A 14,588-nucleotide genomic window follows, 5' to 3' on the forward strand; every position below is an offset into this window, starting at 1 on the left:
TTTTCTTGTCATTCACTAAACAATACAGTATAACAATTATATAACATTTACACTGTATCAGGTATTTTAAATATTCTAGAGATTTATTTAAAGTATACAGAGGATATGGGTAGGTTATATGCGAATATGACACCATTTTATATGAGGGACTTGTAAATCCAAGGATTTTGATATCTGCGGGGATCCTGAAATCAATCCTCCATGGATACTGAAGATGACTCTACTTCCATTTTAGAAGAACTCACCTAGTCTCACAACTTGGCATGCCATCTATGTGCTAACGGCTCTCATTTATTTTAGGCAACCACTGAATTCCAGACTAGTGTATCAAACTGCCTACTCGACATCTAGGCTTGGATATCTCTAAACAGGCATCTCAAATGATGTGTCTAAAACTGGGCTCCTAAACTTTCTCCTTAAACCTGCAGCCCTGTGGTCTCTACCAACTTAAGTTTTTGGCAATTGCTCCTCCAATTGCTCAGTCATCCTTGATTCTTTTCTTTCTCTCATCCAACCCAACAGTAAATCCTTTGGGTCTCACTTTAAAACATATCCACAATGTGACTGCTTTCATCCCTTTACTGCTACTGACCCAGTTCCACCCTCCATCATCTCTCACCTGGACTATTACAATAACTTCCCAATGGGTCTTCTAGCTTCTGCCCTGGCCCCCTTCAATCTATTCATAACACAGCTACCACAGCAAATTAAAATCTAAGTCAGATCATATCACTCTTTTGCTCAAAATGTGGGATGGTTTGCTTTCCTCTTCCTCCTCATCTGCTTCTGAATACTCATCTGTGCTTTGGCCCAAATGTTTCTCACCTTACACAAAATAAAAATCCAAAGTCTATACAATGTCCTACTCTGTGTTATCTAATATGATAAACACTAGTCACATGTGGTTATTTTAAATTTAAATTAGTTAAAATTAAATAAAAATAAAAATTCAGTTCCATGGTCACACTAGCCACATTTCAAGTGCTCAATAGCCATATGAGGTTAGTGGCTATTGTAACGATCAGCACACATATAATCAGTGCAGAAAGTTTAACTGCACAGCACTATTTATCATCAGAGGTTAGCACATTTTTTATGTAAGAGGCAGGCCCTATAGTCTCAGTCACAACAACTCAGCTTTTTGAGAAAGCAGGCAACAGACAATATGTAAACAAATTGGTATGGTAATCTTCCAGTAAAAACTGTATTACAGGGCAGGGTGCAGTGGCTTACACCTGTAATCCTAACACTGTGGGAGGCCAAGGTAGGGGGGATCACTTGAGGCCAGGAGTTTAAGGTCAGCCAGGGCAACACTGCAAGATCTCATCTCTATAAAATAAATTTAAAAATTAGCAGTGTGGTGGCTTATGCCACTTCTAGCCACTTGGGAGGCTGAGGCAGGTGGACTGCTTGAGCACAGCAGATTGAGGCTATGGTGAGCTGTGATTGTGCCACTGCACGCCAGCCAGGGTGAGACCCTGTCTCAAAAACAAAAACAAAAACCTTGCTTTTTTATTTATGTAAGCAGGTGGGCTCTCGTTTGCTGACTGGCCCCCACTGACTTCTTTGCTTCATCTCATTATGTCTGCCTTCACTCATTCTGCTCCAACAACCCTGCACTCCCTTCTGTTTGCTGAACATGACAAGCACAAACATACCTCAAGGCCTTCATATTTATTGTTCCATCTGCCTGTATCATTCTTCTTTTAGATAAGTGCATGACTCACACACAACATTTCTTTCAGGTCTTCACTCAAATGTTTTCTTAGTGAGGATTTCCTTAGTATATTATCTGAAATTCAACTACTTTCCCAACCCCCTTTTCTCCTTTATTTTTTTCCAAAGCACTCATTTCTAATATATCATATATTCTACTTATCTATCTTGTTTATTGTCACCTTCTTCCCAACTAAAATAAGAGTTTCATAAGAGCTATTTTGTTTGCTGTTATATTCCAGTGCTTGGAATAGGGCCTAGCTTAATAAATATTCATATTTAATGGCTTAACTAATGCAATTTATGTTTGTTTCTGTGACACATGAAGGTAAGTACACATTCGAAAAAGATGTTCACTTCCCTTCTTTAGCATCCCACATCCAAACATTTTTTTTCCCTTTCTCTTTTGTCTTGGGCTCAAACTTAAATTCATGTTTAATCTATGAAAGCAAAACAATCTTCAAAACAGGCCATAAAGCCGGGCGCGGTGGCTCACGCCTGTAATCCCAGCACTTTGGGAGGCCAAGGTGGGCGGATAACCTGAGGTCAGGAGTTCGAGACTAGCTTGGCCAACATGGTGAAACCCCATCTCTACTAAAAATACAAAAATTAGCCAGGCTTGGTGGCACATGCCTAAAATCCTAGCTATTGGGAGGCTGAGCCAGGAGAATCGTTTGAACTTGGGAGGCGGAGGTTGCAGTGAGCCAAGATCACACCACTGCACTCCAGCCTGGGTGACAGAGTAAGACTCTGTCACCAAAAAAAAAAAAAAAAAAAAAAAAAAAAAAAAATATATATATATATATATATATATATATATATATATATATTTATATGTATATATGTGTGTATATATATATACACTATATATATATAATTTAAGTAAAACAAAAAAGACTAAATGGATGTAAGAAATTCATATTTTAGAGCTTGTCTTGTACTACTGGTAGGGGGCACAGTTATAGCTATTAGGAAATAATGATTTCGGTTTCCAACTGAAATCATAGTCAAGGTGAAAGAGACAGTAGGCACTTTTATTTGAAACCTTTTAGCTATTAAGGACATAAGAGGTTATTTCAAAATGAGGGCCATGAATAAGGGAGTAAGAAAAAGAAGTAGAATAATCTTGATCAGATCACAATTTTCTGAGACTTTTCTAGTTTCAATGAAAATTTAAATTACAATGGAGATCTTAAAAATTAGCCTCTTATCGAGTATCTTTTATTTAAACTATGGTAGGCACAAGATTATAGGTTTTATCTCAAAGATACTACTGGTTATATGGATTTTTTTTTTTTTTTTTTGAGACACAGTCTTGCTCTGTCACCCAGGGTGGAGTGCAGTGGCACAACCTTGGCTCACTGCAATCTCCGCCTCCCAGGTTCAAGCAATTCTCCTGCCTCAACCTCCTGAGTAGCTAAGATTACAGGCGCGTATCACCACACAGGCTAATTTTTTTATTTTTAGTAGAGACAAGGTCTCACCATGTTGGACAGGCTGGTCTTGAACTCCTGGCCTCAAGTGATCTGCATGCCCTGGCCTCCCAAACTGCCGGGATTACAGGCGTGAGCCACCATGCCTGGCCTGGTTATATGAGTTTCAAAGAATGGTACAGAATCACAATCCTGAGTTCACTTTATAATGTCTATTTTGCCCTGTCCAAACTTCTATATATAGGAGACCTATGCCTTACCTTCACTCTCTGAGCTGGAAAGTCTTCGCTTGTGTACTCGCCTTATTTCTTTACCACGTCGCAAACTCTTCTGGGAACCGTCACTTTCTGAGTCTTCTTTGTAGTTAATTTGTCTTTTCTGATTTCTCCTTGACCGCCTTCGCCGAGTTTCTACAAAATCATCACTAAAATCATCACTGAAGTCACTTTCTATTTTAAAAAAAGGAAGAACAAAGTACAAAATTTAAGTCTATTTAGAAATGTAGCTTAGGTTATAAAAATGAAAAGCTACCAAGCAGAGTTCAGTCATAAATATTTTTAAGTGAACAGTAACTTTTATGAGTCTCATTTTATTTGAGAGAGTATCTCACTATCACACAGGCTGGAGTGCAGTGGCATGAACATGACTCACTACAGCCTCAACCTCCTGGGCTCAAGAGATCCTTTGGCCTCAGCTGCCCCAGTAGCTAAAGCTAGGATCACAGGCATATGCACTACCACTCCTGGCTACCTACCAAAGTGTTGAGATTACCACATGCCTGGCCTTTAAGTCTCCCTTAAAAAAAAAAAAAATGACTCAATCTGTGCAGGTTTTTAATGCCAAACCTCACAATATATACTCTTAGCGGTGAATCCTCAAGATTAGAAAATGTTTTATCCTTTTTAGTTTGTTTGTTTTTGAGACAGAGTCTCACTATGTCGCCCAGGCTGGAGTGCAGTGGCATGATCTTGGCTCACTGCAAACTCCACTTCCCGGGTTCAAGCAATTCCCCTGCCTCAGCCTTCCGAGTAGCTGGGACTACAGGTACCCGCCACCACATCTGGCTAATTTTTGTATTTTTAGTAGAGATGGGGTTTCGCCATGTTGGCCAGGCTGGTCTTGAATTCCTGGCCTCAAGTGATCCGCCTGCCTCGGCCTCCCAAAGTGCTGGGATTACAGGTGTGAGCCACCACACCCAGCCTAAATGTTTTATACTTTTTTAGAAATAGTCCTTACTGCAGTCGACCTACAGCTACCTGGTCAGGTACACAGCTGCCATGACTGCTCTTCTTGGTAGACGGCTACCACAAATCCGCCTCCTGATAATATGCTGTTCTACCTGTCACTATAGTCATAATGTATTGCAGAGGTTATGCCCTCTAACCAAAGAAAACTCATGAATCTGTTCCACATAAATACAGAACTCAAGATATATTTTTGACTCTTCTCCATAAAGAATACAAATCTGCTAAATAAAGCACACAGACCTAGTTAAACTTGCAAAGCACTGCTAAATAGCATTGTTCCTGTCATCTCTGATCAATAAGCCAGAGTGAGGCTGTGGCATTATGTCACAGCTGTTTTTCAGAATGTTAAATTCCACCGAAGTACGACATTCAAGCTTGTTATTCTTTTGTGGATTTCAAACATTTCAAAATAGCTAGCCAATAGGTTGAAGTGGTTCTCATTGGCCAAATTTGGGACAAATGGAGCCTAAATAGTGATGGGAATGTAGTATATCCACTGATCAGAATAAGAATCCACGAGTTTACACTGTCATAAATAAACAAACATATGGAGGAGAAGGGAAATGTTCTTCCTTACAGAACAACAATAAATAAATATAACAGAAATGACAGAGTTAGAATTATCCACAGGAACTAAAACTAGCAGGTGAAATATAAGGAAAAGGATATTTAAATAGTCTCAAATTCCCACAAATTACTTATTAATTATAAGGAAAAATAATAAAGAGACTCAGAAGATGCAACATTCTCTGTGCTATTCCCACTATAAATGCATAATCTGAATCTTATCACAAGGAAACAAAAGAAATCAAAACTGGGAAACATCTACAAAACAACTAGTATGTACTCTTTAAAAATATCAAGATGAGACAAAATTTGAGGATTATTCCAGATTAATGGAGACTAAAGAGATGTGAATAAACGCATAGCCCTGGAATGGATCCTGGGTTAGGAAAAGAAAAAAAAGATATAAAGAATAATATGGAGATACTTGTTAAAAATTTGAATGTGTACTGTTAATTAGGTAATAGCATTATATCAATGTTAAAATATCTGAATTTGGTAATTGCATTGTGGTGATGTAAGAAAATGTCCTTGTCCTTAGGAAATAATCACTGATAAAGGGGCATGATATTATCATCACTTATTTAGATGGTTTAGGAAAAAAGATAAATAAAACCAAAAAAAACCCACAAGGATGGCCAGAGTCTGATACTCATATCTATGGTTCTTCTCTAATAAGATGACACCTATCAATTTGCCAATTACATAAAGCATTCATTTCTTGTAGCGGTTGAGCCTCTATTTACTCACTTAATAGGGATAAGCATACTCTATAACAACATCAACTACTGTTAATCTGTAAAAACTACTCAACACTGACTGTGGTCTAAATGAGAGTTAACTTGTATTCTTCTCTCTCCAACAGCTGGGCATCTGAGGGAAATGTTCACAGTTTATTGAGAATGATTTCCAAGAAACCCTATGAAGATGAAGGTTTAGGAGTGGAAACATTTGACAACCAAGGAGTCATCACAATCCTACTAGGCATCTGATATGAAGTTAACGTATCAATCAGTATGTATTTTCTCAGATGTGCTTTCTATGAGAAAAATTTAGTCAGAAATAAGTCTTAAGAACAGAATTTTAAGAACTCTTAACTCCAGAAGTCATAAGAATTTGTTGAGCTGGCCAGCGTGCTGGCTCACGCCTGTAATCCCAGCACTTTGGGAGGCTGAGGTGGGCAGATCACCTGAGGTCGGGAGTTTGAGACCAGCCTGGCCAACATGGAGAAACTCCCTCTCTACTAAAAATACAAAATTAGCCAGGCATGGTGGCACATGCCTGTAATCCCAGCTACTTGGGAGGCTGAGGTAGGAGAATCGCTTGAACCCGGGACACAGAGGTTGCAGTGAGCCGAGATGGTGCCATTGCACTCCAGCATGAGCAACAAGAAAAACAAAAAATAATTTATTGAGCTACCATATGGTTACAGATTATTTTTACCAGAGTCTCTACTATTCTCCTCAGATTCCTCCTCTTCATCATCATCGGAATATTTTTTCTTTGGGGTCTTTCTTCGCAAACGCCTGCTCTGCCTCATTGGCCGAGAGGGGTGTCGCCTCAGTCTACGGCTACAAAAGTCAGTGTCACTGTCATCATTAGATGGCGGATCTTCTTCACTTTCATCTGGGTTTTCATCAGACACAACAAACTCATCTTGAGATCTGTCCAAGAGAAATCAGATAAAATACAATGGTATTTAGAAGAGTGAACCCATTTTTAAGAGTTCTGAGTTCAAATTCTGGTGAGCCCAGTGAATCATTAAGTATAGTGCAACATATCTGGATAATTGTATCAAATGCCCTATTTATAAAATGGGGAAAATGTTTTGCCACCTATCCTCTTAGGAGGGGTTGTAAAGATGAATTAATGTTGATTTCTGTACTGCTTTGACCTCTTGGGATGTCCCCCATGTTAAATTCGACATATTCAAAAGTGAATTCATTATTTCCCAATCTACTTCTCTCTTCTGTTCCCTGGCCTGGTATTTGGCACCATCACTCATCCGGTAACTCCAACCAGAAACGTGGTATTTATCCTAACTTTCCCCTTTTCATTTCTCATATCCAATAAATTAATAATTTCTCTAGAGTCTACCTCTTAAAAGATAATCTCTCAAACCTGATCTCTTCTGTTTTCAGCTTTTCATACTCACCTTAACTACAAAAGCAACTCCACAAATAGTTTCTCTAATATCTGGTCTCATTTCCCCTCAATCTATCCTCCAAATGAATGCCAGGATGAATCTTTCTGAAGCATAAATCTCATATTAATTTAGTGTTTAAAACCCTTCACTGGTTTTGTATAATTTTCAGGATAAAGTCAAAACACTTATGCATGACAAATAAAACACTCCCTAATCTGGCTCTTTTTATCACTTGACCACATCTCCAGTAGGGCACTCTCTACTTCATCCCCTTATTCCTGCTATCCAGAGCCAACAGGAGTTTCCCAAACATTCTATGACATTTTACGGCTTGCTGTCTTGGACATGTGACTTCTATGCTTAGAATACCTTTTTCTTATCCTGCTTTTAGTCTCATACTTGTTGATTCCAAATACTCATTCTTCAAATTTCAGATCAAGCTTTACTTCTACTTTAAGGTTTACTCTTTGGATTAAGCCAACTTTCCTCTGTAGCCTAATTTATCTTTCCCTGTATTTTAGTAGCAGTTATGCAGAATGACTTTTTTTTTTTTTTGTGGTTTATATACTTGTTTCCTCTTCTAATAATCTGAAAGGAGAAACTCTGCAGTATTGTTTCAATTCCAACTCTGCAAAGAAGCCTTTCTTGATCTTCTATACTGGATTACCAGTCCCAAGTCCAACTTCTATGAGTCATGAGAGGATAATATCTTATTTATTTTTCACATAGGACTGGAAACCCCTCATGGACCTGGCAGAAGGTGGCACAGAGGTACAGAGAAAGCTCTCAACAAATGAAAGTTTAATTGTAGTTAGTAAAATTTAAATACAATTTTGAATGTTAAACAACCATAAATCTATTTTCTGTTCTAAACTTTAAAAATGGGCCAAAATTAGTATTCTTGAATCTGCTTTAAATATCCTGAAAATAAACAGAGGTTGTCTATGTACATGAAGAAGAAAACCCTCATCACAGCATGGGCAAGCCTCTCTGCTAGCCCAGTCCTGTTCCTGCTGGTATCTAGGGATCGGGGCCTAGTAGGAGACCACACACCCATCACTGATCTTGAATTCATCCTCGCTCTCTTCTTCATCCAGGTTGCTATCACTGTCCAGATCATTTAATCGCCGGCGTTTCTTCCTTCGAGCAGCAGCTGCCCTCTGGGGTCGTTTATTTTCTTTTCTTTCTTCATCCAAAATAGTAGAGATGTCTTTCCCACGATGACCTGTGATGGTGGAGATATCTTTTCCTCGGCCAACTCCTGAATTTGGGGGAGGGAAGTTCGGGGAGAGAAAAATATGTGTTTATTAAAAGCTTCCCTTTAATTTCTAGAGACAGTCCTTATTCATGCTTAGCAGCTCTTCATTTCTTTATTTTCTTCCAACAAATATGCAGTTTTCTTATGACTTCAGCTGACAGAGGTCTCAGAGTTTTAGCATTCGTTTACCCTACTGAAGAGAAGTTTACTATGTAGGGAACCTCGTTTTTTAAATTTTTATATAATTCACACACCGCAATATTCACCCTCTTAAAGTGTACAATTCAGACATTTTTAGTATAGTCACAAAGTTGTGCAACCATCACCACTACCTAACTCCAGAACATTTTCATCACCCAAAAAAGAAACCTCATACCTATGAGCAGTCACTCAAGAATCTCTTCTTGAAAGCTGTCTTTTGGACAAGGCTTTAGAAAGAGGCCAATAGAGTTTTTAAAAACAGTGTTTGCAGGACAGAAAAAGTGAGAATTCAGCAGCAAAAATGTAAATAAAACATACATCTCTGGAAAAGCCTTAAACAATCTACTTATTAATCTTTTCCAGAGTTTTCATAATAACTAAGTAGAAACCAGAATGTTCCATATTGGAGCATTGGCTAATAGTGCTTTAATTAAATTACCTTCAAGTTCTTCTATTTTAATGCCACTTACTAAAGACTATGAAATTAAGAAACCAATTTTTAATAGGTTAACTTAAAAATTTTTGGTTTAAATTATTTTGGTTCTGATTATCCATAATTTTTGAGACTTTGTAGTCTCAAAGACAACTGAAAAGTTTCCTCAGTTTTCTATATGGAATCAGAAGTAAATTTTTTAACCTATGAAGGAACATCAATGTTTTATATCAGCTTGTAAAACAAAACTGCTTTAAAAGTAGTTAGTAAGATCTGAGTCTATACACTGACATTGTATCCACAAATTACTCTAAATCTGAGACAACTAACATCAGTACTAATCATGATACATAACGGGAAAGAGAATAAAAACATATGCTCACTGCCCTAATTTGGGCACCTGAATGAACTTCTTGGCAGAGTTCTATGAAGAAGAGAGAACGACAAACACATACCTCCTCCATCGGCTTCTTTGATGTCATCTTCAATAGCTTCATCAATTGCTTCATCAAACTCATCAAATCTAAAATATACACAATGATCACATTATAGCCTGTCCTGGCTTTTTTTTTTTTTTTTTTAATTATTTTTATTTATTTATTTTTGAGACGGAGTCTCTCTTTGTTGCCAGGCTGGAGTGCAGTGGCGCCATCTCGGCTCACTGCAACCTCTGCCTCCCGGGTTCAAGGGATTCTCCAGCCTCAGCCTCCCGAGTAGCTGGGACTACAGACGCGTGCCACCAAACCCAGCTAATTTTTGTACTTTTAGTAGAGACAGGGTTTCATCATGTTGGCCAGAATGGTCTCGATCTCGACCTCGTGATCTGCCCGCCTCAGTCTCCCAAAGTGCTGGGATTACAGGCGTGAGCCACCGCACCCAGCTGTCCTTTTATTTTTAAAGATTACCTTTAGCAGATGTCTGTTACTGTCTGATTGTTTATGTCCCCTCAAAATCCCCATGTTGAAATATTAAATCTCAAGGTGATGGTATTAGGAGGTGGGGTCTTTGGCAGAGCCCTCATGTATAAGATTAGTGCCCATATAAAAGAAGCCAGAGAGAGACCCTTTGTTTCTTCCACCATATGGGGTTACAGTGAGAAGATGGCCATCTATGAAGGAGCAGGCCTTCACTAGGCATCGGGTCTACCCTAAAAACTCCCCTCATCCCTTCCGTGATTAAGAACACCCTAGAAGGTGCCATCTATGAACCAGAAAGCAGGCCCTCACCAGACAGCATACCTGCCAGTATCTTGACCTTGGACCTCCTAGTTTCTAGAACCGCAAGAAATAAATTTCTGTTGATTATAGGCTATCCAGTTTACGGTTACTTTCTGATAGCAGCCAAATTAGACTGAGGCAATGTCAGCAAAAATTTTTATAAAGGGCCAGATGGTAAATATTTTAGGCTTTTCAGACAATGCAGTCTCTGTTGTAACTACTCAACTCTGCTATTGTAGTGCAAAGCAGCTACGGACAACATGTAAGTAAATGATACAGACGTGTTTCAATAAAACTTTATGAGCATTAAAATTTGAATTATAGGTAATTTCCATATAATTTTCACAGGATATCATTTTTCTTTTGATCCTTTTCTTCAAACATTTATAAAAACCACTTTGAGGTCACGTTGTACAAAAACTAGAAGTGAGCTGAATTTGGCCCACAGGCCATAATTTGCCAACTCCTAATTATACAAATCACATGGCAAAGTAAGTAAAACAAAATTACAGTTCCATAAATACTATTAAGTCCTAATAATATGTCTGGGCACAGTGGCTTACATCTGTAATCTCAGCACTTTGGGAGGCCAAGGCAGGCAGATCACTTGAGCCCAGGAGTTCAAGACCAGCTTGGGCAACATGGTGAACCCCTGTCTCTATAAAGAATACAAAAAATTAGCTGGGTGTGTGGTGCGTGCCTGTAGTTCCAGCTACTTGGGGGGCCGAGACAAGAGGATTGCTTGAGCCCAAGAGGCAGAGGATGAAGTAAGCCGAGAATGCACCACTGCACTCCAGCCTGGGGGACAGAGCGAGACCCTGTCTCAAAAAAAAAAAAAAGAAAAGAAAAAGAGTCCCAATAATAGGGCTATATTATTACTGCTATTGAAAATTATATTATAACTGAAATTCATACACAAATGGTTAAAATTTTAGAACTAGGTAAAAGTATTTCTTGAAGCTGTTTACCTTGACTTAAAGAAAAGGATCAAGACTAAAGGATTCCTAAGATTTCTTCACATATAAAATGCCTTTTACTTCAGGGCTCAGCCAAAAGGATGAAGTAACTTGTTTAAATCTACGCTAAAAATGGTAATTACTAGCCTGTGTGGCTATTTATATTTAAATTCATTAAAATTTAAAATTCTGTTCCTCACTAGACATAATTCAAGTATTCAATAGTCACATATGGCTATGGCCACCATATCAGACATCAAAGAAATAGATTCTATTTCCATCACCAGAGTATATTATATTGAAGAGGGTGGGATTACGGGCACACAATGGATTAACAACAGCATCAAAACTAAAAGCTAGGGCTGGGTGCAGTGGCTCAGCACTCTTGGGAGGCTGAGGCAGGAGTATAACTTGAGCCCAGGAGGTTGAGACCAATCTGGGCTATATGGTGAGACCCTGTATCTACAAAAATAAAAAATTAAAAAAATTAGCCAGGTGTGGTGATGTGTGCCTGTAGTCCTAGCACTCTGGGAAGCTGAGGCAATAGGACTGCTTGTGGATAGGAGTTCGAGGCCGCAGTGAGCTGTGATCATGCCACTGCACTCCAGCCTGTGTGACAGAGTGAAATCCTGTCTCAAAAAAAGAAAAAAGACTAAAAGCTGGAGGCTGGAAGTGGCTGTATACACCCATAGTCCCAACTATTTGGGAGGCTGAGGCAGTAGGATGGCTTGAGCCCAGGAGTTGGGAGTCCAGTCTAGGCAACATAACAAGACCCCGTCTCTAAAAACTAAACATCCTGCCTTCTGAGTTAGAATATATAATTTCAAAGGACTCACAAATTTCAGATGGAGAGCTCTTCTTTTACAATGTAATTTTTACTGGCTGCATAGTATCTCACCTTACAGATGTATCATATTTAGTTAAAACAGTTTATTTCCAATTTTTCACAATTGCAATATTATGAGAAACATTCTTGTAGCTGCAGTGTGGATTTGTCTTAAGTTCTGAGAAAGTAAAACTCAGCACATCCATTCACTAGGGTAGAATAGCAGATACATATAAAGCCAGATGCCAGATGCAAAATTAACTGAAAACAGCATTTGTTCTGAGGACAGGGTGCAGCTGTAAGGTGGCATAATAACCTATTTCTTTGAGTGACTACTTTCTTACTGAGAAATTTGTTCGCTAAAATCAAAGACCATCAGAAACTTCAGGCATATGAAACTATTTCACAAAGAATGAAACATCCCACTCTTGCCTTAATGATAATCTAAGTCATTTTTAATGCAACTAAACAGCCTTGATTTATATCCCAGATGCAGAGCTTCAGATAAAAGATTTCTGAATACAACACTCCATGTATCTATAGTCCCTTGGTCTTGGTTGTCTCATCTGTCATGGTGGATTAACACAGATTATCCCTTTAAGCTCTAAAATCATATATGACTAAAATCGGAATTTAGGGTAAACTATGTATTTTCATATAAAATGTATTGTGTAATGCATTTATTTATACTCTACCTAGTTCCAAAATGACTGACATATTACAAAACAACTCAAACATGATATGTATTTCATTCATACATGCTTATGTGCAATTTCCTTCCTTCCCTCCTTCCTTACTTTCCCCTTTCCTTCCCTCTTCCCTGCCACCCTCTCTCTTACAGAGTCTCTCTATGATGCCCAGGATGGTCTTGAACTTTTGGGCTGAAACGATCCTCCTGCCTCAGTCTCCCAAAGTACTGGGATTTCAAGTGTAAGCCACCATGCCCAGCCAATTTATGTGCAATTTCATTTGTGAGAAACACTAGGTGAATGCAGAAAACTGCACCTAGCTGAAATGAGTTGCCCAGGAATCTACAAAACACACATACCTAAGACATCTACCAGTAACATCACTTCACTATGTGTTATAATAAAACTATAGCCTTTTGCATCTGATGTTATACTTTTCTGATTTCAGATAAACCTCCTTCTGCCACCACACCATAATTTACAAACTACAATTCTCTGCTTCCACAGACAAGCTTCAGGTCTTTTTCAGTATAAAACGCCATAGTTAATGCAGTATTTATGTATTTCTTACTTATTTAACATATGTCAAATGGCGCTCCCATTTTTAATAAATTCCTATCTTTTTTAATGCATCGCTAATGAAGTTTTTAATGTATGTCTCTAACCCCATATTTTCCATAATCTCTATGGTTTTTCCTGTATAATTTTGCACAGCATGGTGATTTTTTAAAAATACATGTTATGTTGCAGCAGAACTGACTTCATATTTGCACTTTCCATCTGTCAGCTTTGACTTCATACATACAGAAGAAAACTTTTTATTTTTTGAAGTATTTTTTTAAAGACTAGGATGGGCACTATTCCTGTATATATGGGATTTTACCCTTACTGATTCTACCATATTTTTATAAAGTTTTAACACTAACAATAGAAGCAAATTCCTCCATGATTACTGATGCAAGTTTATAAATAAGAAGCAAGTTCAAAGTTAAGAGTTTCATAAAATCCACTGTTTTCCTTTTCCAGTTATTCAAGTTAAAAAACTGATTTGGTGTTATCCCAGCAGATTTTAGAAGCTGTAGGCCAAAAAATGATCTAAAATAACTAAAATATAATTTATTTATTATTTGAATGAGACAGCATGATTTAGTGGAAAGAACACTAGACTGGAAGATAGGGTTTTAGAAGATAAGATTTCTAGGAATAGCTACTAACAGTGACCATGGAAAAAATCTCTCTGGTATCTTTGGTGTTAAAAGGTAAACCAGGTAATATTTACTGATTCTTTCACTAGGTACTTATGGAGCATTAACTATCTGTCAGCACTATGCTAGGTATAGGGGACACAAGTCCACGTAAAACAGACATGGTCCTTACCTTCATGCTAACAATCTAGTGATGAAGAAAAATGTTAATAAATCATCACAACCACACTCATTACAATTGTAAGTGCTTTCAGGGAAAAGAACTGGTTGCTATGAAGGCATATAATGGGGGGGATTTGATCTAGAGGAGGTTAACAAGCTAAAACTGAAAAGGAAATTGCAGGTAAACAGCATGTGCAAAGGGACTAAAAGGCGATGCAGCAAATGCAGAGAGTGTAAGGGAGAATGTGATAAGATAGAGTTGGAGAGGGAAGTAGAGATGAGACTATGCAGTGCCTTACTGGCCTTGTTAAAAGTATCAATGCTTGGCTGGGTGTGGTGGCTCATGCCTGTAATCCCAGCACTTCGGGAGGCTGAAGCGGGTGGATTACCAGGTCAAGAGGTTGAGACTATCCTGGCCAACATGGTGAAACCCCGTCTCTACTAAAAATACAAAAATTAGCTGGGCGTGGTGGCGGGCGCCTGTAGTCCCAGCTACGTGGGAGGCTGAGGCACGAGAATCGCTTGAACCCGAGAG

At 38.4% G+C, this 14,588-nt stretch overlaps 1 protein-coding gene across 3 annotated transcripts in view; it reads right to left on the minus strand.

The window, feature by feature from the left end:
* RSF1 (remodeling and spacing factor 1) overlaps positions 1–14,588 on the minus strand; it is a 212,224-nt gene that overhangs the window by 8,624 nt on the left and 189,012 nt on the right. For all 3 annotated transcript variants that reach the window (XM_017017923.2, XM_005274051.3, NM_016578.4), the window contains exons 12-15: positions 9,454–9,521; positions 8,160–8,367; positions 6,404–6,624; positions 3,410–3,598 (exon numbers count right to left, since the gene is read on the minus strand). In XM_017017923.2, the coding sequence (XP_016873412.1) occupies positions 3,410–3,598; positions 6,404–6,624; positions 8,160–8,367; positions 9,454–9,521 (686 nt within the window). The remainder of the gene's footprint in view (positions 1–3,409; positions 3,599–6,403; positions 6,625–8,159; positions 8,368–9,453; positions 9,522–14,588) is intronic.

The sequence above is a fragment of the Homo sapiens genome, chromosome 11, assembly GCF_000001405.40.
Source record: "Homo sapiens chromosome 11, GRCh38.p14 Primary Assembly".
Lineage (NCBI taxonomy): Eukaryota > Metazoa > Chordata > Mammalia > Primates > Hominidae > Homo > Homo sapiens.